Source organism: Homo sapiens, chromosome 7 (assembly GCF_000001405.40).
Source record: "Homo sapiens chromosome 7, GRCh38.p14 Primary Assembly".
NCBI classification, from domain to species: Eukaryota; Metazoa; Chordata; class Mammalia; order Primates; family Hominidae; genus Homo; species Homo sapiens.
The window spans coordinates 139429320-139453974 of NC_000007.14; the positions used below are offsets into that span (position 1 = coordinate 139429320).

General features: G+C 47.6%; 1 protein-coding gene and 1 pseudogene across 3 annotated transcripts in view, besides 2 other annotated features; one reads left to right on the plus strand and one right to left on the minus strand.

Annotated features, from left to right (window-relative positions):
- KLRG2 (killer cell lectin like receptor G2) overlaps positions 1-24655 on the minus strand; it is a 56576-nt gene that overhangs the window by 2222 nt on the left and 29699 nt on the right. For 2 of the 3 annotated variants that reach the window (XM_005250311.4, NM_198508.4), the window contains one exon: positions 23371-24388. The exons of the other annotated variant lie outside the window; for it this stretch is intronic. In XM_005250311.4, the coding sequence (XP_005250368.1) occupies positions 24380-24388 (9 nt within the window). In that variant the 3' untranslated portion in view covers positions 23371-24379. Of the gene's footprint in view, positions 1-23370; positions 24389-24655 lie in introns of those variants that run through there. 3 annotated transcript variants of the gene reach the window in all.
- On the plus strand, positions 19421-19524 carry RNU6-911P (RNA, U6 small nuclear 911, pseudogene; annotated as a pseudogene).
- Positions 22187-23075: an enhancer, noted in NCBI's record as "H3K4me1 hESC enhancer chr7:139136252-139137140 (GRCh37/hg19 assembly coordinates)". NCBI's record gives its function as "activates a minimal SCP1, AML or CMV promoter by ChIP-STARR-seq in primed H9 embryonic stem cells {active_cell/tissue: H9 hESC(primed)}" and the evidence as "EXISTENCE:reporter gene assay evidence [ECO:0000049][PMID:30033119]".
- Positions 23076-23962: an enhancer, noted in NCBI's record as "H3K27ac-H3K4me1 hESC enhancer chr7:139137141-139138027 (GRCh37/hg19 assembly coordinates)". NCBI's record gives its function as "activates a minimal SCP1, AML or CMV promoter by ChIP-STARR-seq in primed H9 embryonic stem cells {active_cell/tissue: H9 hESC(primed)}" and the evidence as "EXISTENCE:reporter gene assay evidence [ECO:0000049][PMID:30033119]".

Genomic DNA, 24655 nt, shown 5'->3' on the forward strand with positions numbered 1-24655 from the left:
TAAATCATCACTTCAAGTCGTTCTTTTCTGGAGGCCATATATATGGGTGTTTTTCTTTTTCTTTTTCTTTTTTTTTTATTGATCATTCTTGGGTGTTTCTCGCAGAGGGGGATTTGGCAGAGTCACAGGACAATAGTGGAGGGAAGGTCAGCAGATAAGTGAACAAAGGTCTCTGGTTTTCCTAGGCAGAGGACCCTGCGGCCTTCCGCAGTGTTTGTGTCCCTGGGTACTTGAGATTAGGGAGTGGTGATGACTCTTAACGAGCATGCTGCCTTCAAGCATCTGTTTAACAAAGCACATCTTGCACCACCCTTAATCCATTCAACCCTGAGTGGACACAGCACATGTTTCAGAGAGCACAGGGTTGGGGGTAAGGTCACAGATCAACAGGATCCCAAGGCAGAAGAATTGTTCTTAGTACAGAACAAAATGAAAAGTCTCCCATGTCCTCTTTCTACACAGACACGGCAACCATTCGATTTCTCAATCTTTTCCCCACCTTCCCCCCCCTTTCTATTCCACAAAACTGCCATTGTCATCATGGCCCGTTCTCAATGAGCTGTTGAGTACACCTCCCAGACGGGGTGGCGGCCGGGCAGAGGCGCCCCTCACCTCCCAGACAGGGCGGCTGGCCGGGCGGGGGGCTGACCCCCCCCATATGGGTGTTTTTAAGGCAGGGTTCCTCAAAATACGATCTCTAAACACTCTGAATCAGAATCACAAAATAAAATATTCAGATGGCCGTTGAGCACATAAAAGGAGAATCACCATCATTGCTCATTATGAAATGAAAGTTAAAACTGCCGGGCGCAATGGCTAATGCTTGTAATCCCAGCACTTTGGGAGGCTGAGGCAGGCAGATCACCTGAGGTCGGGAGTTCGAGACTGGCCTGACCAACATGGAGAAACCCCATCTCTACTAAAAATACAAAATTAGCCAGGCGTGGTGGTGCATGCCTGTAATCCCAGGTACTTGGGAGGCTGAGGCAGGAGAATCACTTGAATCTGGGAGGCAGAGGTTGTGGTGAGCCGAGATTGAGCCATTGCACTCCAGCCTGGGCAACAAGAGCGAAACTCCATCTCAAAAAAAAAAAAGTTAAAACTATGAGATCCCATTACACATCCACTAGAATGATCAAAAGTAAAAAGACTGACAGCACCTAAGTATGAATGAAGATGTAGAGCAACCAGAACTCATTTGCTAGTGGTGTTGTAACATGGTACAGCTATTTTGGAAAACAGGCAGCTTCTTACAAATAAGCATATCCTTACCATATGACCCAGCAATCCTCCTACGTACCCAAGGGAAATGAAGACTTATGTCCAATCAAACACTTGTATTTGAACATTCATAGCAGCTGTATTCATAAGAGCGGAAATATCCATCAATTAGAAAGCAGATAAACAGGCCAGGTGTGGTGGCTCACCCCTCTAATCCCAGCACTTTGGGAGGCCGAGGCAGGCAGATCACTTGAGGTCAGCAGTTCGAAACCAGCCTGGCCAACATGGTGAAACCCTGTCTCTACTAAAAATACAAAAATTAGCTAGGCATGGTGGCAGGTGCCTATAATCCCAGCTACTTGGGAGGCTGAGGCAGAAGAATCACTTGAACCGGGGAGGGGGAGGTTGCAGCAGTGAGCCGAGATTGCACCATTGCACTCCAGCCTGGGTGACAGAGTGAGACCCTGTCTCAGAAAAAAAAAAAAAAAAAGGTTAAATTGTGATACATCTCTATAAAGGAAGGGATTACTGACACAAGCAGCAACATGAATACCTTTAAAACATGCTGAGCTAATAAATCAAAAGCTGAGCTAAAGGAATGAGACACAAAAGAGTACACATACTGTACAATCAATTCTCTATGTGAAATCCTAGAACAGGCAAAACTGGTTTCTAGGGACAGAAAGCAGGTTTGCCTGGGGCCGGACCTCAGGGAGGACCAAGGATTAATGGCAGAGAGGGAACTTTCTAGCGTGTTGGAAATCTTCCATATTTTGATTGGCAGTAGTTACATGGGTGCCTACATTTGTCAAAAGGCAGTCTTAAAATAGATACACTTTCTTCATTATGCCTCAGTAAATCTGATTGAAAATATATACACTTTTTTTTTTTTCCTGTTGGCAGTATGGACTCTTTTAGGCAGGGTAGCTCAAAATGTGGCTTCTGGACCACCAACCAGCATCAGAATTACCAGGAAAATTGGGAAAGACCTTGTTTGGGGACCCCCATCCCATGCCTGACCTACTGAAAAACCAAATATCCAGAGCTGCTCTTCTGTGGCCTGCGATCCGCTAGGCCAGCCTGAGTCAGAGCCCGGCCTCAAAAGCTCCACTACATAAGCTGGGGCTGGTGGTAATGTTGAGTGTCAGTTTCAAACAATAGCAGCTGGCAGTGCCTGGTGGGAAGAGACTAGAAGAAGTAGAGGAATTCCATGCAGACCAACCTACTGTGTAGCTCTTCTCTTCAAACTTCTGCTTGTAGAAAGCAAAGGTATGCTCTAAAGTAGAGGTTGAAACTCATGAGAATTTACCTTGGTGAAAGAAAGGGTTAGAAGCTATTTTTAAAAAGCAGTTGCAGGAAGCATTTCTGAAGTCAGAACTTCTCAACCCAGGCTGTACACCAGACTCTTGTGGACCTTTTAAAACATCTAATTTCTATTTTTATCAAAGGAGACATGAATATGGTGTTTTTTAAAAAGGTGGAGATGGTTTTAAGTTTGTAAATGTATGTTTTAAAAAAAAAAAAGTCAGTCCTGACCAGGCACGGTGCCTCACGCTTGTAATTCCAGCACTTTGAGAGGCTAAGGCAGGAGGATTGCTTGAGCCCAGGAGTTCAAGCCCAACACAGGCAACAAAGGGAGATCCTGTCTCTACAAAATATTTAAAATCTAGCCAGGCACAGTGGCCTGTGCCCGTACTCCCAGCTGCTTGGGAGGCTGAGGCGGGAGGATCACTGGCGCCCAGGATGAGACTGCAGTGAGCTGTGATCACACCACTGCACTCCAGCCCAGTCAACAGAGAGGGACTCTGTCTTTGAAAAAAGAAAAAGAAAAAAAAAAGTCTGCCTACAGCCTAGTCTCGCTGTAAACTGATTCCTCTTTGGAGGGAGACATTTACAGAGTTTAAATTATATGCAGGCGAAATACACAATCTTGAGAGTACAGCTTGATGGGTTTTTATATATGTATGGTCATTCCTCGGTATCTATGGGGGATTGATTGCAGGACCCCCCCCCCCCAATATTTTTTTTTGAGACGGAATCTAACTGTTCCTCAGGTCTGAGTGCAGTGGTGTGATCTCGGTTCAGTGCAGCCTCCGCCTCTGCTTCCTGGGTTCAAGCGCCACATCTGAGGGTGCACAAGTCTCTCATACAAAATGGTGTGGCATTTGCACATAACCTATGCATATCATCTCTGTATACTTTAAGTCACCTCTACATTGCTTATAACACCTGATACAATGTAAATGCTACGTAAACAGTTGTTACATTGTTTGTATATCATTTGTATTTTTTTAAATGATTTTCTCCCAAATATTTTAAACCCAAGGTTGGTTGAATTCACCGACGCAGAATCCATGGATAGGGAGGGCCAACACCCAACTCCCACCCAGATCAAGATACGGACCATTTCCAGCACCCTAGAAAGTTCCCTGATGGTCCTTCCAAGCTAATAGTCCCCGCTTCTCAAGATAATCACTATTCTGACTTCGGACACCACTGGTTAGAACCACTTTAGGTGCTTTCTGTGGTTCCTCCTTGTATTTGTTTTCATAGTTCTAAATAATGTTTATACTGCTGTTTCTTGGCTTGCCAACTTGGGACAATGGTAGCTTTCTCGAATAGCAGACCAGACTTTCACTCAGTCTCCATCCTCACCAAGTAAAACAAAAATGTTCCAGATTTCCAGGCCCCGGGATCACTCCTACCACTACCTTGGCTTACTCAGATTGAATCCTGCACCTGGGAGGAGTCTGAGTACCTGTGGTGTGTGGTTTTTTTTTTGTTTGTTTGTTTGTTTGTTTTTTTGGAGATGTAATTTCTTGTTGCACAGGCTGGAGTACAATGGCACAATCTTGGCTCACCACAACCTCCACTTCCCGAGTTCAAGCGATTCTCCTGCCTCAGTCTCCCGAGTAGCTGGCATTACAGGCATGTGCCACCACACCCGGCTAATTTTGTATTTTTTAGTAGAGACGGGGTTTCTCCATGTTGGTCAGGCTGGTCTCGAACTCCCAACCTCAGGTGATCAGCCTGCCTTGGCCTCCCAAAGTGCTGGGATTACAGGCGTGAACCACTGCGCCCGGCCTTTTTTTTTTTTTTTTTTTGAGATGGAGTCTTGCTCTGTCACCCAGGCTGGAGTGCAGTGGCACATTCTCGCCTCACTGCCGAGAATGCAACCTCCACCTCCGGGGTTCAAGTTATTCTTCTGCCTCAGCCTCCTGAATAGCCGGGATTACAGGTGCCTGCAACTACACCAGGCTAATTTTTGTATTTTTAGTAGAGACAGGGTTTCAACCATGTTGGCCAGGCTGGTCTCGAACTCCTGACCTCAAGTGATCCCCCGCCTCGGCCTCCCAAAGTGCTGGGAGCACTTCAGTGTGAGCCACCGCGCCCAGCATCACGCCCAGCATCACGTGCGTTTTTTAACCTCACAGGCGATTCCAGCCAGCACCTGTCCCTGGGGAGCCCTGAGCCTGTGGTACTTGGCCCTGAGGCTGGGAGGAGCTGAAAGGCTCCTGATGTCCCAGACACAGGATGTTTGCTGTGAGGAGCTTGGAAGTTAAAATAGAGTATGTTCTCAGACTGCCAGGTTAATTTGCAGTTGGAATAAGAAGCAAGCCGTGAGAATCACTAAAGTGTTTCTAAGATTTTTATTGCTTGTCAAGTACATCCTTTAGGGCTCCGCGTCTAAATATTTAAGATTCCAGCTTTGCTCTTATCAGAGCTCAAATGTGGCCACAGTTCTCCCACCCTTTGCCTGGTCATAATTCAGAACCAACTTATCACCATGGTTTGTTCTCATTCTCCTTCTCTTACTCCCAACCAGTGACACCCGGGCTTCTGCTTACAGCTGGAGGCACTGGCCACCTACCTTCCTTCCTTGGCTGGGAGCATCAACAGCCAAGCCCCTTTACACGGCAGTCATCTTGATGAGTTGCTGGGGCCAAAGCCTGCCCTCCCTCCCTCTGTAAGCAGTATGGATTCCTTGTGGCCTTCTGAGCCTTCTCCTTGCTACTCAAGAGTTTCCAAATCAAAAGACTTGCAGCCTGTTCCTGTTTTTTAAAAGTATTTATAAAAGCTGAATGTCAATTTTCTACTTAGAGTTATAAATAGAAGCAGATGCTCTGGTTTGTTGATCAGCACGCTGTGTTCTTACAGGGGAAGTCAAAGAATCCGAAGTGTGCTTGGAGCATAGAACTAGCGCAAGAGGGCGCTAGTGAGGCGGTGCGGCGCGGGCGGCCAGGAGCTAGGGTTTGAAAACAGACTTCGGTTTGAGCCCTGAATCTGCCACTTAGAAGCTGTGTGCCCTTGGGAAGCGATAATAATACATTTACCAAAGTCAGACTAGATAACCCCAGCACTGAGGAGTTATCCACATCATCTCTTCGTCCTTCACAACAATAAATCTATAAGCTAGAAGTTACCATCTCCAGACTTACAGATGAGATTGCTGAGGCTTAAAAAAGTCAAAAAGGTACTCAAGGTATCATGATAGGGCCTGGGGGAGTTGAATGTAGTTTAGATTAACCCCAGGACCTACTACTTTATTTTTATTGCGTTTATTCAAAGGCAAAACCTGTAAGAGATGCCTAAAAATGATAATGGCTACCTTTCTTAAAAAAACTTTATTGAGATTTAATTTTCCCACAATAAAATTCACCAATTTCGGCTGGGCGCAGTGGCTCACGCCTGTAATCCCAGCACTTTGGGAGGCCGAGGGGAGTGGATCACTTGAGGTCAGGAGTTCGAGACCAGCCTGGCCAACATGGTGAAGCCCCATCTCTACCAAAAACACAAAAAATTAGCCGGCATGGTGGCAGGCACCTGTAATCCCAGCTATTCGGGAGGGTGAGGCAGGAGAATCGCTTGAACCCTGAAGGTAGAGGTTGCAGTGAGCCAAGATTGTGCCACTGCACTCCAGCCTGGGTGACAGAGCGAGACTCCGTCTCAAAAAAAAATCACCAATTTTAAGCATACAGTAAGTTGACAAATGTATCCCACCACTGCAATCATGATATAGAATAGTTCCATCTCCCCACAAATTCTCTCCTGGCCTCTCCCAATCCTCTCCTCAAACCTCTGGCCCCGGCAACCACTGATCTCTCTAGCATGAGCTTTATCTTCTCTAGAACTTTATATAAATGGAGTTATTGGCATACAGACTTTCATGCCGACTTCCTTCCCTTAACACGATGCTGCTGAGACTCACCCGTGCTGTGTGCATCAGCACATCCCACCTTTTCACATTGAGTAGAATCCATTGTAAGGGTGCCCCGCCGCTTACCCACTTAAAGTCATGTGTTTATTTGCTTTTTGTGTATCTTTTTGGTGAAGTGTCTATTCAGATCTTATATAGGGCCTGTAATTTTTTTTTTTTTTGAGATAGGGTCTTGCTCTGTCACCCAGGCTGGAGTGCAATGGCACAATCTTGGCTCATTGCAACCTCCACCTCCCATGTTCAAGTGATTCTCCTGTCTCAGCCTCCCAAGTAGCTGGGATTACAGGTATGCACCACCATACCCGGCTAATTTGTGTATTTTTTAGTAGAGACAGGGTTTCACCATGTTGGCCAGGCTGGTCTCGAACTCCTGACCTCGAGTGATCTGCCCACCTCAGGCTCCCAAAGTGGTGGGATTACAAGCATGAGCCATTGTGCCTGGCCGGGTCTGTACTCTTAACCCGCACACTCTACCTGCGCATTTTTTTCCTCGAGTCTCATCTATTAAATGGAAATAAAAACGCAAGCATGGAAGAAGACTGCTGCTGTTCCGTCTGCCCTTCCCCCACTGTCTAGGGAACCCCCCCCTTCACACCTCTGCAGTCACACGAATGTTTTAGTCAATGTGGACGTTTCCACACTGGTAACAGTGACAGCTTAGTGGTCCAGAGGCGGGTGCCTGAGCCTGTTTAAAACAATCCCAGTCCTTCCTTGGGACTAGTTTCTAGCTTGGACTGGCTGTTCTCTTGAACTGAGGATGTCACGGAAGTTGACAGCTGTTAGTGGCCATGTGCCGCCATGATAAAGCTGGCCACCGCAGAAGCAAGTGACCCAGGCACAGGAAGAGGGGTCGAGGCAGGACATGAGGAGCCCGGCTCCAGCCAGTCCCAAGCCCAGTTGTATCCCTACTCTTGGCCTCTCTAAGGCCCTCCTGAGTCTTCTAATCATTTCTCTTTCTTGCGTAGGCAGCTTGGAATTGGGTTTTTGTTACTAAAAGCCAAACTAACCCACTAATGTACTGGGTCATTGTGGAAATTCCATGCGCTCTATATGTAAACTGTTCACACACACTACCTGGGGCATGGCAGAGTCACCACAGATGTTGGCTACGACACTGCCAGGTGGCCAGTCCCAGCTAGAATGGCCAGGCACTGGGTCCTGCTGCCCTCACTTCACTCGGTGTCCTTGGATCCTCACAGCCTCACCCGGACTGTGTGTGCAAGGACCTTACGGGTTTGAGGTGAGGCCGGAGCTTGACAGGGGACGAAGAACAACTTAACACCCTGTGAAGTGGGAAATGCCATCTGTGAGAAAGACGCCACTGTGCAGAACTGACAGACCCAGCCTCTAGACTCTTCCTACAGATATTCAAGAAATGAATGATTTGGCCAGGCGCAGTGGCTCATGCCTGTAATCCTAGCCCTTTGGGAGGCCGAGGCAGGTGGATCAGCTGAGGTCAGGAGTTCAAGACCAGCCTGGCCAACATGGCGAAACCCATCTTTACTAAAATACAAAAATTAGCCAGGCATGATGGCGGGTGCCTGTAGTCCCAGCTACTCGGGAGGCTGAGATGGGAGAATCGCTTGAACCCAGGAGACGGTGGTTGCAGTAAGCCAAGATTACACTACTGCACTCCAGCCCGGGCAGCTGAGGGAGACTCCATCTCCAAAAAAAAAAAAAAAAAAAAAAAAAAATTCATCATTAGTTTGTTTGTTTGAGACAGAGTCTCGCTCTGTTGCCCAGGCTGGAATGCAGTGGCATGATCTCAGCTTACTACAACCACTGTCTCCCAGGTTCAAGCAATTCTCATGCCTCAGCTTCCTGAGTAGCTGGAATTACAGGCATGTACCACCACACATGGCTAATTTTTTGTATTTTCAGTACAGATGGGGTTTTGCCACATTGGCCATGCTGGTCTCCAACTCCTGACCTCAGGTGATCCACCTGCCTCAGCCTCCCAAAGTGCTGGGATTACAGGCGTGAGCCACCGCACCCGGCCATCATTAGTCATTTTTCTACGAGTTATTAGGCATAAATTGTGAAACATTCACAGGAGGGATTGTGTGTTTGAGATCATCTCTGGTCCAGTTCTTTGCCTCTCCCTGCATCCATGCCCTTTGCCACCTGAGCCTGCAGCTTCATCTACTTCAGGACTGGCTGGACTCCCCCACCCCTGCCCACTGAGTTTGGCTGTTTCTGTGGCTCCAGCTAGTGGCCTGTTGGGGAAAGAATGGTGTGTCAGTTCTGACCTAGGCCTCAAAAGGCCTGCGTGTTTCTTTTGGCTCTCTTGCCATTGTCATAAGACTATGTCTGCCTATCCCAGTAGCTGGAGGACAATGAAGGACACACGGAACAGGGCTGCTCCAGCCAAGGCCGGGCTAGAGAAGGCCACCCAAGCCAACTTGCAGATGTAGGGGAGCCCAGCTGAGATTGGTGGAGCCGGCCAAACAAACGTGTATTGTTCAGAAATGCAGTTTTATTTATTTTTGAGATGGAGGTGTCTCACTTTGTCACCCAGACTAGAGTGCAGTGGTGTGATTGTAGCTCACTACAGCCTTGAACTCCTGGGCTCAAGTGATCCTCCCACCTGAGTAACTGGGACCACAGACATGTGCCACCATTCCTGGCTATTTTCCTTGGTATATACAGGGTCTTGCTTTGTTGCTCAGGCTGGTCTAGAACTCCTGGGTCCAAGAGATCCTCCTGCCTTAGCCTCCTAAAGTATTGGGATTAGAGGCGTGAGCCACTGCACTGGATCAGAAATGCAATTTTAAATGAGATACCACCATACACCGATCGGTAGGGCTGAAAGTAAAAAGACAACACCAAGTGTTGGTGAGGACTTGTAGCACCTGGACTTTCATGCATTGTTGGTGGAAATAGAACATGATACACCTTCTTTGGGAAACATTTTGGCAATTTTTTTTTTTTTTTGAGATGGAGTTTCGCTCTTGTTGCCCAGGCTGGAGTGCAATGGCGTGATCTCAGCTCACTGCAACCTCCACCTCCCAGGTGCAAGTGATTCTCCTGCCTCAACCTCCTGAGTAGCTGGGATTACAGGCATGTGCCACCACACCCGGCTAATTTTGTATTTTTAGTAGAGACGGTATTTCTCCACATTGGTCAGGCTGGTCTCAAACTCCCAACCTCAGATGATCCCCTCCCCCCCCCCACCCCGCCCCGCCTCGGCCTCCCAAAGTGCTGGGATTACAGGCGTGAGCCACCATGCCCCGCGTGGCAATTTCTTAAAAGGTGAACTATATACTTAGCACCTGACCCAGTGATCTAATCCCCAGGAATCCGGGAGAAATGAAAACACTTCCATACAAGTACTTGTACTGACATGTTCATAACAGCTTAATTCATAACCACCCCAGACTGGAGACAAGACTAATGTCTATCAACTGGTGAATGGATAAACACATTGTAGTACTGTGTGCCCATACAACAGAATGAGCTGCTCATATGTGCAACATGAATTTCCAGAAGCATTATGCTGCATGCAATGCACATGCTGTGTGACTCCGCTTCTACGAACTCTACAACAGGGAAGATGGACGTGGTGGAACACATCAGGACAGTGTCTGTCTCTGGAGTGGATGTGGGGTCATGGGGAAGGGCCTTGAGGGAGCTTTCTGGGGGGCTGTCAAGGGGAAACAGTTCAGGTGGTTGGAGCAGGGAGAGACCAGGGCGTGCAGTTAGAGGCGAGGTTTGAAAGGTGGGTGAGGCCAAGTGGCAAGGGCCTTGTGTGCATGATCTGCTTCGGCTGTTATCCTGAGCAGAGCAGCCGACACTCATGAGGGTTCCAGGCTGGGCCAGAGACTCAGTCTTCCTCTTTTTGCCCAAGCTGCCATCCCTCAAGACACTTAGTAGTTCCCTGCTTCCTCCCCAATTTCTGGCACGTGATGCTCTGGAAACGTAAAGCTTGCAGGGTAACATGAACCTCCTGGACCCCTGCCTCAGCACAGGAGGGGATGCAGATGTTGGTTGGGAATAGCGGACACAAAGGTGATGGGTTGGTTTCCCAGGACTATCGTAACAAAGTATCTCAGACTGGGTGGCTTAAACAACAGAACTTTTTTTCACCAACCTGATGCTTTTGTTTAAAAAAAATAATTAAAAACAATTAAAAAAAACCAAAAACCCAGAAATTTATTCTGTCACAGTTCTGGAAGTCAGAGTCCAAAACCAAGGCATGAGCAGGGCCATGTTCCCTCTGATGGTGCCGAGGAAGGATCTGTTTCTAGGCCTCTCTCCTGGCTACTGGTAGCATCAGGCATCCCTTGGCTGTCTTCTCCCTGTGTCTTTTTTACATGATGTGCTCTCTACGGGCATGTCTGCCTCTGTGTCCAAATTTCTACTTATTTTAAAGACAGAGTCTTGCTCTGTCGCCCAGGCTGGAGTGCAGTGGCACCGTCTCAGCTCACTGCAGCCTCCGTCTCCCAGGTTCGGGCAATTCTTGTGCCTCAGCCTCCTGAGTAGCTGGAATTATAGGTGTGTGCCACCACACCTGGCTATTTTTTTTTTTTTTTTGTATTTTTAGTAGAGATTGGATCTCCCTATGTTGCCCAGGCTGATCTCGAACTCCTGTGAGCCTCCCACCTCAGCCTCCCAAAAGTGTTGGGATTACAGGTGTGTGCCACCACACCTGGCTTTTTTTTTTTTTTTTTTTTTTTTGTATTTTTAGTAGAGACTGGATCTTCCCATGTTACCCAGGCTGATCTTGAACTCCTGTGAGCCTCCCACCTCAACCTCCCAAAAGTGTTGGGATTACAGGTGTGAGCTACCATAGCCGACTTAATTTGTGTGTTTTATAACAACATTAGTCAAATTGGATTAGGGCCCAACCTAATGATCTCATCTATTTTTTAAATAGAGATATGATCTCACTATGTTGTCCAGGCTGGTCTTAGACCCCAGGGCTCAAGTGATCCTTCCCCTTCGGCCTCCCTAGTAGCTGGGACTACAAGCTTGCACCACAGTGCCTGGCACGACCTCATCTTAAAAGACCCCATTTCCAAATAAGTTCACATTAATAAGTATTGGGAATTAGGACTTCAACATTTTGGGGGACACAATTCAATCTATAACAGCAGGCTCTATTTTAATATTATTTATTTATATGACCCTCATCTAGCAGTCTGTCAGCTTCAACTGACAACCATCAGCTGTGTAGATTATATTTCTTTTATAAGTGTATTGAGGCCGGCCATGGTGGCCCATGCCTGTAATCCCAGCACTTTGGGAGGCCGAGGTGGGCAGATCACCTGAGGTCAGGAGTTCAAGACCAGCCAGGTCATCATGGCAAAAACGCTGTCTCTATCAAAAAATACAAAAAATAGTTAGGCATCAATCCCATTACTGGGTATATACACAAAGGATTATAAATCATGCTACTATAAATACACAAGCACACGTATGTTTATTGCAGCACTATTCATAATAGCAGACTTGGAACCAACCCAAATGTCTATCAATAATAGACTGGATAAAGAAAATGTGGCACATATACACCATGGAATACTATGTAGCCATAAAAAAGGATGAGTTCATGTCCTTTGCAGGGACATGGATGAAGCTGGAAACTATCATTCTCAGCAACTGTCACAAGGACAGAAAACCAAACACCGCATATTCTCACTCACAGGTGGGAATTGAACAATGAGAACACATGGACACAGAGAGGGGAACATCACACACTGGGGCCTGTTGGTGGGTGGGGGACTGGGGGAGGGATAGCATTAAGAGAAATACCTAATGTAAAAGTTGATGGGTGCAACAAACCAACATGGCACATATAAACCTATGTAACAAACCTGCACATTGTGCACATGTACCCCAGAACTTAAAGTATAAAAAAAAAAATAGCTGGGCATGGTGGTGCACACCTGTGGTCCCAGCTACTTGGGAGGCTGAGGCAGGAGGATCCCTTGAGCCCAGGGAGGTAGAGATTGGATTGAGTCAAGATTGTGCCATTGCACTGCAGCCCAGGCAACAGAGCAAAAATAAGTGTATTGAATCTCTTGATTCATCTATTGAATAGGGCTCTCTTCTGGCCACCACGTTCTGAACCAAGGCTGGCTATTTAGACAGGCTGCAGCACACAGCAGAAGACTTCCTGTTTAAAAATGTCAGAATAATGCTGCTTCTCTCCAAATCTACCCCAAAGCAGTAAGGAGAACAAGCAGCAGAAATCCACACCTTGGCACTAAGGAAACTAGGAGACCTCTGAAACCCTCAGCCATGAAAGTATGAGGAAGGGATGCCAACTGCCCTGAATGTTAAACAGGTGTAAGGAGAGGGCACGTCCTGGAGGCAGCCAGCTGAGCATAATTCTCCAAAGTCAGTGACACGCCAGGGAGCAAAGCATGACAGGATGCTCAGGTAGGGACTTGCCCAGACCCAGGCAGGGAGCTGGAGTGAACACAGGAGGTGAGGCTGAATGCGGAGTCACACAGACAAGCCTTGTTTGAAGGAAGGAATCTGCAAGTGAGGTTGGACAGAGAGGAGCAACTGTCCACCATGAGCCTGCATCTGATGAGCTCAGCGGACAGGAGGAGTGAAGGTTATCCACTCACATGAATGCTGCTCTCCTAGAGCATACATAGCCCAGGCCCTTCAACTCCTGACATCTGGTGGTCTAGACTTGCCTCATTCAAAGATGACTGATAGGCCAGGCACGGTAGCTCACACCTGTAATCCCAGCACTTTGGGAGGCCAAGGTGGGAGGATGGCTCGAGTCCAGGAGTTCAAGACCAGACTGGGCTACATAGTGAGACCTCATGTCTATAAAAAATACAAAACTTAGCCGGGTGGGTGGCTCATGCCTGTAATCCCAGCACTTTGGGAGGCCATGGTGGGCGGATCACTTGAGCTCCAAAGTTCAAGACCTCCAAAGTTCAACATGGCAAAACTTTGTCTCTACAAAAAATACAAAAATTAGCCAGGCATTGTGGCACACACCTTTAGTCCCAGATACTCAGGAGGCTGAGCCCAGGAGGCAAAAGTCATAGTGAGTCAGTATCATGCCACTATCCTCCAGTCTGGGTGACAGAGCGAGACCCTGCCTCAAAACAAAACAAAAGCTATCACAGAGAGCCAGGCACAGTGGATGCAGCACAATTGAAAAGAAGTAATCCTGAAATCATAAAAAGGAAGAGCAAGAGAAAAAACGATACATTGGGATTGAGAAAAATAGTAAAGAACAAAGTAGAATAGACAAAAGTTTAAAATGAATACACAGAATATGATAGACATGAAGATCCAAGAAGTACTATATACATTTAGTTAATATTCCTGGAGGCAAAAACAAAAATAATGGAACAGGAAAAAAAACTTTTTTTTTTTTTTTTTTGAGATGGAGTCTTGCTGTGTTGCCCAGGCTGGAGTCTAGTGGTGTGATCTTGGCTCACTGCAACCTCTGCCTCCCAGGTTCAAGGGATTCTCCTGCCTCAGCCTCCCAAGTAGCTGGGACTATAGACCATGCCGGGCTAATTTTTGTATTTTTAGTAGAGACAGGGTTTCACCATGTCCGCCAGGCTGGTCTCAAACTCCTGATCTCAAGTGATCCACCCGCCTTGGCCTCCCAAAGTTTTGAGATTATAGGAGTGAGTCACTGGCACCTGGCCAGGGAAGATATTTAAAGAAATAAAATAAGGCAAGAGGGCTTTCTAAAAATAAAATGACTTGATCAACATGCTGATAAGGTATATACCAAGTCCTAGGAAAAAATGAAACAGTATTAGTCAGGGTTCTCTAGAGGGACAGAACTAGATGTTTAGAGGATGTATGTGTAGATGAGAGGGAGTTTGTTTATTTTTTGAGATGGAGTCTTGCCCTGCTGCCCAGGCTGGAGTGCAATGGCACGATCTCAGCTCACTGCAACCTCCACCTCCCGGGTTCAAACGATTCTCCTGCCTCAGCCTCCCAAGTAGCTGGGATTACAGGTGTGTGCCACCACGCCTGGCTAATTTTTGTATTTTTAGTAGAGGCAGGGTTTCACCATGTTGGCCAGGCTGGTCTCAAACTCCTGACCTCGTCCGCCCACCACGGCCTGAGAGGGAGTTTACTGAGAATTGACTCGTACTATCACTAGGTTAAGTCCCATGATAGGCTGTCTGCAAACTGAGGAGCAAGGAAGCCAGTAGTAGCTCAGTCCAAGTCCCAAAACCTCAAAAATAGGGAAGCCGACAGTACAGCCTTCAGTCTGTGGCCAAAGGCCTGAGAGCCCCTGGCAAACCACTGGTATAAGTCCAAGAGTCCAAAAGCTGAAGAACTTGGAGTCTGATGTTCAAGTGCAGGAAGCATCCAGCACGGGAGAAAGATGAAGGCCAGAAGCCTCAGCAAGTCTGCTCTTTCCAACTTCTTCTGCCTTTTATCCTAGCCATGCTGGAGACTGATTAGATGGTACCTACCCATACTGAGGGTGGGTCTGCCTCTTCCAGTCCACTGACTCAAATATTAATCTCCTTTATCAACACCCTTACAGACACACCCAGAACAATACTTTGCGTCCTTCAATCCAATCAAGTTGACACTCAATATTAACTATAGCTGGGATTACAGGTGCCCACCACCACGCCTGGCTAATTTTTGTATTTTTAGTAGAGAAGGGGGTTTCACCACGTTGGCCAGGCTGGTCTCGAACCCCTGAACTCAGGTGATCCACCCACCTGGGTCTCCCAAATTGCTGGTATTACAGGTGTGGGCCACCGTGCCCAGCTGGTAATTCGGTTTAGATGAGGTCATGATGGAATTAGTGACCTTATAAGAGACACTAAAGAGCTTGCTCCTTCTCTCCATGCCACGTGAGGACACAGTGAGAGGGTGGCCATCTGCAAGGCAAGAGAGCAGCCCTCACCAGGAATGGACCATGTGGACCCCCTGATCTCAGACTTCCAGCCTCCAGAACTGGAAGAAAATACATTTCTGTGATTTATGTTTACCTTGCACCCAGTCTATGGTACATTGTTATGGCACCATGAACAGCCAATGCAATATAAAAATAGTCACTATTACGACGACACAAAACTCCCAAACTATAAGATACACACCCTACAGAGCAGACAGATTAAATAGTGAAATATTTTGCACATAAATATGCAGACAGCAGTAAAACCAAACATATTTTCTCCTATCCATAAGTATAAAAACGGGCTAATCTTCCTATGAAGTCTTAGATTGAATAATGAAGCAAAACCAACATAAACTGTGACAAGAGACGAGATTCACCCAAACACAAAGAGATTCAGGATGGTTCATCCCTTCCTCCTCCTTTCCACTAAGGGGAATTAAGCATTTCCTATGGGCTGGCACTATTTCTATTTTTTTTTTTTTTCGAGTTGGAGTCTCTCATTCTTTCACCCAGGCTAGAGTGCAGTGGTGCAATCTCAGCTCACTGCAATCTCTGCCTCCCATGTTGAAGTAATTCTCCTGCCTCAGCCTCCCGAGTAGCTGGAATTACAGGTGCCCACCATTGTGCTGGGCTAATGTTTTGTATTTTCAGTAGAGACGGGGTTTCCCCATGTTGGCCAGGCTGGTCTCGAACCCCTGACCTCAGGTGATCTGCCTGCCTCAACCTCTCAAAGTGCTGGGATTACAGGCGTGAGGCTGGGCTGGCATCATTCTAAGCACCAAGGGTGTATTCATGCATAGACAAATCCTGTCCTCGCGGAGCTTACGCATAATCAAGCACACAGATGATTTCAAAGCAGGTGATTTCAGCCATGGAAGGAGATGAAGAGGGAAGGAGAAGTGACAGGTGGGCTTGAGAAACAGCTAGAGGGGAGTGAGTCCAGGGAAGAAGGGACATGAGGCCTGACAGGTGGCAGGGGACCAGATCTGACGTTCTGGAATCATCGGCTTATTGATGGTATTTAATGCTGTGAGACAGGGTGAAATCACAGGGGGCAGATGGATCGAGGGTTCTTAACCACTTTTGGTTTCACAGACCCCTTTGGTAATCTGGCAAGGCCTATAGAGTCCTTCCTAAATTATATATATGTGTATGTATATATATATATGTATATATATATGTGTGTATATATATATGACGGAGTTTTGCTCTTTAAGTTTTATTTTTTATTTTTTTGAGACGGAGTTTCACTCTTATTGCCCAAACTGCAGTGCAATGGCACAATCTCGGCTCACTGCAGCCTCCGCCTCCTGGGTTCAAGCAATTCTCCTGCCTCAGCCTCCCGAGTAGCTGGGATTGCAGGCACACACCACCACACCCGGCTAATGTTTTGTATTTTTAGTAGAAACGAGGTTTCCATGTTAGCCAGGCTGTTAGCCAGGCTGATCTTAAACTCCTGACCTCAGGTGATCCGCCCGCCTCGGCCTCCCAGTGCTGGGATTACAGGCGTGAGCCACCATGGCCAGTCTAAAATATTTTTAAAGTTGTGATACAGTTGATAGTGTTGCTACAAACTTAGAGGCTCAAAACAATGCAAAATTTGTACCTTTCCACTGGGGAGGCCAGAAGTCTGCAGTCTCACTGAGCCAAAATCAGGGTGCCAGCAGAGCCACATTCCCCCTTGGAGGCTTGAGGGGAGAATCCATTCTTTGCATTTTCCAGGGTTTTTTTTTTTTTTTTTTTTTTTTTAAGAGAGAGTCTCCCTCTGTCGCCCAGGCTGGAGTGCAGTAGCTCAGTCTCGGCTCACTCCAACTTCTACCTCCTGGGTAGAGAATCAAGTGATTCTCGTGCCTCAGCCTCCTGAGTAGCAGGGATTACAGGTGACTGCCACCATCCCCAGCTAATTTTTTGTATTACGGAGTTTTGCCACGTCAGCCAGGCTGGTCTCGAATTCCTGACCTCAAGTGATCCGCCCTCCTCGGCCTCCCAAAATGCTGGGATTACAGGCGTGAGCCACCGCGCCCAGCCTCTTTTTCAGCTTCTGGAATCTTCCTGCAGTCCATAGCTCCTGGTCCCCTCCTCCTTCAAAGCCAGAATGTAGCATCTTTGAGTCCTCCCGCCTCCTCCGACCATCGGCTTCTGACACCCAACCTCCTCCTCCGACATCGGCTTCTGACATCCAACCTCCTCCTCCTTCACCCCTGACCTGCCTGCCTCCCTCTTATAAGGACACTTGTGATTACCTTGGGTACACCTGGGTAACCCAGGCTCATCTCATTTGAAGATCCTTAATTTAATCACAGTAATCCTAGGAAAAAAGGATTTTTTAAAGCAAAAATTAATTAATTTAAAAAGAAAACTGTCTTTGGTCAGTGACAGCCTCTTCGGGTTGGTCCTCAGCTCTTTTGACAGGACCTGCTAGACTCTGAGACTTCCTTGCCTTCCCTGCCAAACACATCAGTGGTGTTTACTCCAGAGCTTAGATGACAGAAAGTCCTTATTCTTTTAATGAAGTCAGCATAACGTTAAAACCCAATAAAATAGCATTTGAAAGAGATAGTTTCAGATCAAATACATTTTAAATAGTCATGTGTCGCTTAACAACAGGGAAATGTCTGAGAAATTTGTTGTTAGGCGATTTTATCATTGTGCAAACATCATTTAATTACACGAACCTATAGGTTAGAGCCTCCTACCGACCTGGGCCATATGGTATGGCCTATTACTCCTAAGCCACAAACCTGTACAGCATGTTACTTGTGCAAGTTGATCATATGACTTGGGTCATTCTTTTTTTTTTTTTTTTGAGACAGAGTCTCGCTCTGTCACCCAGGCTGGATTGCAGTGGTACGATCTCAGCTCACTGCAGCTTTCACCACCTGGGTTTCAGCCATTCTCGTGCCTCAGCCTCCCAAGTAGCTGGGATTACAGGCGCCCACCACCACACACTGCTAATTTTTGTATTTTTAGTAGAGACCGGGGGTTTCACCATGTTGGCCAGGCTGGTCTTGAACTCCTGACCTCAAGTGATCTGCCCACCTCGGCCTCCCAAAGTGCTGGGACTACAGGTGTGAGCCACCGCACCCAGCCTTTTGAATTGGGCCATTCTTGTCACACCCAGTTAAAACAGTTGAGAAGCTAGGGGGAAAAAGCACTTAGGGCACATAACACAGCTCCAAGAATGTAATTCTCTGCAAGCCTGGCTGCCGAAGCTGCCTGCTGCCACCTGAAACCAGTTTTATCTAATGGCTTCTGAAACAACCTGCTGCAGCTCTAAATCTAGTTTTACCTACTGAAGCCACTTACCAATCAGAGTGTGCCAGCTCCCCAACACTCTACGAGTGCTAATGGACTTCGTGGAAAAACAATGCATAACATTTCTCCTTTCTTTTCTTGTCAGACAGACAGGTCTGGCTCTGTCACTCAGGCTGGAGTGCAGGCGTACAATCATGGCTCACTGCAGCCTCAACCTCCTAGGCTCAAAGGATCCTCCATCTTCAGCCTCCCAAGCAGCTGGGACTACAGGCTGGGGGCCACCACGCCCAGCTTATTTTTTATTTTTTTGTAGAGATGGGGTCTCACCATGTTGTCCAGGCTGGTCTCAAACTCCTGGGCTCAAGCGATCCTCCTACCTCTGCCTCCTAAAGTCCTGTGATTACAGGTGTGAGCCACCACACCTGGCCAACATTTCTCCTTTTTATAAAACCTCCTCTTTGTTCTTTGGACATATTGAAGACCAGTCAGTCTGTTTGTATGCCTGAAGCTGCAATTCTGGTATCCCAAATAACATGATAAATTTAGAGATTTGTCTCTATATTTTAATTTTGACTCCAATATACTGCACTGAATACTGTTGGCAACTGTAACACAATGGTAAGTATTTGTGTATCTAACATAGAAAAAGTACAGTAAAAATATGGTGTAAAAGATAAATAGGCTGGGCGCAGTGGCTCACGCCTGTAATCCCAGCTACTCGAGGCTGAGGCAGGAGGATTGCTTGAACCTGGAAGGCGGAGGTTGCAGTGAGCCAAGATTGCGCCACTGCACTCCAGCCTGGGTGACAGAGCAAGACTCCTTCTTAAAAAATAATAATAATAAATAAAATAAAGTTTTTTAAAAGATAAATAGTGCTTGCTTCAGCAGCACATATACTAAAATTGGAACAATACAGAGATTAGCATGGCTGCTGTTTAAAAATTAAATTTAAAAAAATTGGACAGGCACAGTGGCTCATACCTGTAATACCAGCGCTTTGGGAGGCTGAGGCGGGTGGATCATGAGGTCAGGAGTTCAAGACCAGCCTGGTCAAGATGATGAAACCCCGTCTCTACTAAAAATACAAAAATTATCCAGGTGTGGTGGCGAGCACCTGTAATCCCAGCTACTCGGGGGGCTGAGGCAGAGAATTGCTTGAACCTGGGAGGTGGAGGTTGCAGTGAGCCGAGATCGCACCACTGCATTCCAGCCTGGGTGACAGAGGGACACTCCGTCTCAAAAAAAAAAAAATTGTTGGGCGTGGTGGCTCACGCCTGTAATCCCAGCACCTTGGGAGGCAGAGGTGGGTGGATCACCTAAGATCAGGAGTTCAAGACCAGCCTGGCCAACATGGTGAAACCCTGTCTCTACTAAAAATACAAAAATTAGCCCAGCATGGTGGCGGGCACCTATAATCCCAGCTACTCGGAGGCTGAGGCAGGCGAATCACTGGAACCTGGGAGGTGGAGGTTGCAGTGAGCAGAGATTGTGCCACTGCACTCCAGCCTGGGTGACAGAGTGAGGCTCCGCTTCAAAAAATTAAAAATGGTACTCTTGTATGGGGCACTTATAGGACTGGAAGTTGTTCTGGGTGAGTGGGGAGTGACTGTGAAGGTTTAGGACATTACACTATTGGAGACTTTATAAACACTGCACACTTGGGCTACACTAATTTATGAAAAGGCATTTTCTTTCAATAATAAATCTTAGCTTACTGTAACTTCATAAATTTTTTAACTTTTTGACTTTTTTGTAATAACACTTAGCTTAAAACACAAATATTATACACCTGTACAAAAATATTTTCTTCCTCTATATCCTTATTCTTTTTTTTTTTTTTTTTTTTTTTTGAGACGGAGTCTCCCTCTGTCACCCAGGCTGGAGTGCAGTGGCACGATCTTGGCTCACTGCAAGCTCCACCTGCCAGGTTCACGCCATTCTCCTGCCTCAGCCTCCCGAGTAGCTGGGACTACAGGCGCCCACCACCACGCTTGGCTAATTTTTTTTGTATTTTTAGTAGAGACAGGGTTTCATCCTGTTAGCCAGGATGGTCTCGATCTCCTGACCTTGTGATCCGCCCGCCTCGGCCTCCCAAAGTGCTGGGATTACAGGCGTGAGCCACTGTGCCCGGCCTATATCCTTATTCTTTAAGCTTTTTTCTATTAACAATTTTTTTTGTTTGTTTTTGTTTTTGAAACGGAGTCTCACTCTGTCACCCAGGGTGGAGTGCAGTGTTGTAATCTTGCCTCACTGCAACCTCTGCCTCCCGGGTTCAAGCGATTCTCCTGCCTCAGCCTCCCGAGTAGCTGGGATTATAGGCACCCACCACCACGCCTGGCTAATGTTTGTTTTTTTTTTTGTTTTGTTTTGTTTTGAGACGGAGTCTTGCTCTGTCGCCCAGGCTGGAGTGCAGTGGCGCGATCTCGGCTCACTGCAAGCTCTGCCTCCTGGGTTCACGCCATTCTCCTGTCTCAGCCTCCCGAGTAGCTGGGACTACAGGCGCCTGCCACCACGCCCGGCTAATTTTTTGTATTTTCAGTAGAGATGGGGTTTCACCGTGTTAGCCAGGCTGGTCTCGAACTCTTGACCTTGTGATCTGCCCACCGTGGCCTCCCAAAGTGCTGGGATTACAGGGGTGAGCCACTGCGCCTAGCCATATTAACAATTATCTTGATGAATTCAGAAGTCCCACAGGGACTTACAAAGCCATTTTTAAATTGTTTGATATTTCAGACACAATCAGTTTTATTTTTATTATTTATTACTATTATTTTTATTGTTAGTTTTTTAGTTATACCTTCTGGGATGGGAGACAGTTTTAAAAGTTAACAATTGTCTTGGATGTTGCTGTTTTTAACTCAGTAAGTACATCTGTTCTGCCAGTGCTGCCCTGAGCACTGGAACTGGGAGAGCAGGTAGCAAGCTAGCACTGGACACAGCATAAACAGCGACATATTTCTCTTCCCCTTCAAACTGGCTGGCCCTGTAACCAATAAAATGTGGCCCATGTGACACTGGGTGACTTCTGAGGCTAGCCCTCCAGAGATCTAGCTTATGTGGTCCTTTATTTGGGAATGCTCCTTCTCGTAATCCATCTGCCATGCTATGAGGAAGTCCAAGCAGCCATATGGAGAGCCGCAGGTGCAGGAGAACTAAGGCCCCAGCTAGGAGCCTGCACCGCATTGCTGGCTGAGCAAGTCAGGCCAGTTTGGACTTTTCAGCCATTCCAGGGCTCCATCCAATACCATCTAAAGCAGAACTGGCTGGTCAATCCATAGAAGGAAGGGGGAAAAACAGTTGTCTGGGGCAAATAGTTGTTGCTAAGTTTGGGGACAATTTGTTATAAAGCAGGCCGTGCACCGTGGCTCACGCCTGTAACCCCAGCACTTTGGGAGGCCGAGGCAGGCGGCTCACCTGAGGTCAGGAGTTCGAGACCAGCCTGGCCAACATAGTGAAACCCCATCTCTACTAAAAATGCAAAAATTAGCTGGGCATGGTGGTAGATGCCTATAGTCCCAGCTACTCAGGAGGCTGAGGCAGGAGAATCATTTGAACCCAGGAGGCGGAGGTTGCGGTGAGCCGAGACAGTGACACTGTGCTCCAGCCTGGCGACAGAGCGAGACTCGGCCTCAAAAAAAAATTTTTTTTTTTGTTATAAAGCAACAGATAACCGAGGGAGTGGATTATCACAAGTGTGAAACAACTTGGTACCTCCTTTCTCCCTCACTCCACCTGATGGCTTCCCACTCCGCTGCCACTAATACCTTTCTAGATTCCTCTACTGCGTGCTGGGATGGAAAGAATGCGGCCTTTGGAGTCAGATAGCAAGTGGGTTTCATTCTAGACCTTCCACTTTCTAGCTGGGTAACACTGAGTACAACACTTCCCTTCTCTAAAAGGTACTGAGAAGGCTAGATAAGGTTCTGTATACTCATAACCTACAGATGTGTCATTTCTCCAGGCACAGATCCTGGGAACACATGGCAGGGGATGGGGGCGGTAACATACACAGCTTCCTGCCCACATAGGATGTATTTTGATTGGCGCCTGCCCCACGTGAGCCACCCATTTCACATCCAGCCAGGGAATTTCCATGTCCTTTTTTTTTTTTTTTTTTTTGAGACAGAGTCTTGCACTGTCACCCGGGCTGCAGTGCAGTGGCACAATCTCGGCTCACTGCAACCTCCGCCTCCTGGGTTCAAGCAATTCTCCTGCCCCAGCCTCCCGAGTAGCTAGAATTACAGGCACCCACCACCACGCCCAGCTATTTTTTTGTGTTTTTAGTAGAGACAGGGTTTCACCATGTTGGCCAGGCTGGCAGGCTGGTCTCGAACTCCTGACCTTGTGATTCGCCCACCTCGGCCTCCCAAAATGCTGGGATTACAGGCATGAGCCACCGTGCCCGGCCTCCATTTCCCTTTTTGTTATTACTTTCAGGAGTGTGAGAAGGCAGGGATAGCATTAGGAGAAATTTCTAATGTAGATGACAAGTTGATGGGTGCAGCAAACCACCATGGCATGTGTATACCTATGTAACAAACCTGCACGTTCTGCACATGTACCCCAGAACTTAAAGTATAATAATACTAATGAAAAATACAGTGTGAGAAATTTCTCCCATCTAGGACTCTCCATCCCATTCTCCCAGACGGCCCATTACTGGTTCAAACGCACCAATAAGGATTTCTGTTTGGGAGGGATCTGGGTGCATGGTCTGACTTTTGAGGGAAGGCTGGCTTGCAAGGGCCAGTTGAGTGCGTGCTCAGCACCAAGCCAACACGCAGGCCCAGGCTCCTGCTGTTTGGAGGTCTAGCTGGACTCAAGGAACTACACAACTCTGTCAGCCACATCCTCCAGCCTGAAGGTCTTCACTGCACCCCAGCATGGAGACATCTTCAGGTTGGTCGTCTCTGCAGCTGTGGGTAGAAGAGCTGCCTGGAACGTGCCTGCATTTCTCTGATTTCCTTTTTCACTCAGACTCCTCAGCTTCCACCTACCAAGCTGGGGTGCTCTCCTGGCTTCTCCTGCCAGGTGGCCCTGTCCTCTCTGCCTTGTCTCACCCTTGGGCATCAGCGTGCCAGGGGCTGGCCAGCCCACATGCGGGATCTCCACCCAGAACCTTCCTGTCTGCCAACCCTTTGCCAACTCTCAGGGTGGGGAAGGAAAACCTTGCTCTCCCCTCTTTCCAGGGCTGACCGCTCCTTTTCCTTGGTTAATTTTCCAGAGGCTGCCGGTAGGCTGTGTCCGATGTACACCCAGCTGCCTGAAGTAGAATTCACAGCAATGACGTTATCCCTGCCAAGTCCCACTGCCACTGAACAACGGCAGACTCATTTCCATGAGCCGGAATGAGAACCCAGATTGGAATCCGCTGTGGTTGTTAACCCTGTCTTTTTCCTCTAGGGGGAAATTGTCATTTTAATGAAACCAAGGCACAGAAATGCTAAACAACCATCCCAATGTCATCAAACCGATCATCCACAGAAGCTGGAGACTAATATTGGCACTCAGGCCTGAGGCCATAGAAAATCTCCTTTCCCTCGGATGCATCTTCCTGGGTTGAAGTCCAGCTCCTAGGCTCGCTCATGTGGCCCCCTTGAGCAGAGCATGAAGACCTGGATAACTGGGTCCAGGAAGAGGCTGCCCAAGCTCTCAACTGGCCTCCCCTGTAGGGGGTGCTGCATCTGCCTGGCAGGCTGAGGACCAGGCAGAGCCCAGATCACTGGGTCCCCTTGGCACAGACCCAGGGTCTTGGAGTGCTGCAGTTTGCAGCCACCAGCGTGCCTTCCTCCAGGGCCCCACAGTTGATATCCAGATTGTCCTCGCCGTCCTCAGGGAGTCTGGGAAAGGATGGGAGGGGAAAGAGGAGAGGTGTTTAGGGTGCCGGGGCCTTGCTTCCCAGCCAGACCCTCCAGCGTGTGTGCCTGTCACCTCTACCGGCCTGGGCACTGAGTGAGTCACTGCACTGGTCAGCCACGTGGCACTGGATGAATCCCCAAACCTCCCTGGGCAGCTGACCCCGCATCTGTAAAATGGGGGTGACAACCCTGCTTGGGTGAACGTGCTGGGAACCCAAATAAAGAGTGAAGCGACAGGGTCTAATCAGG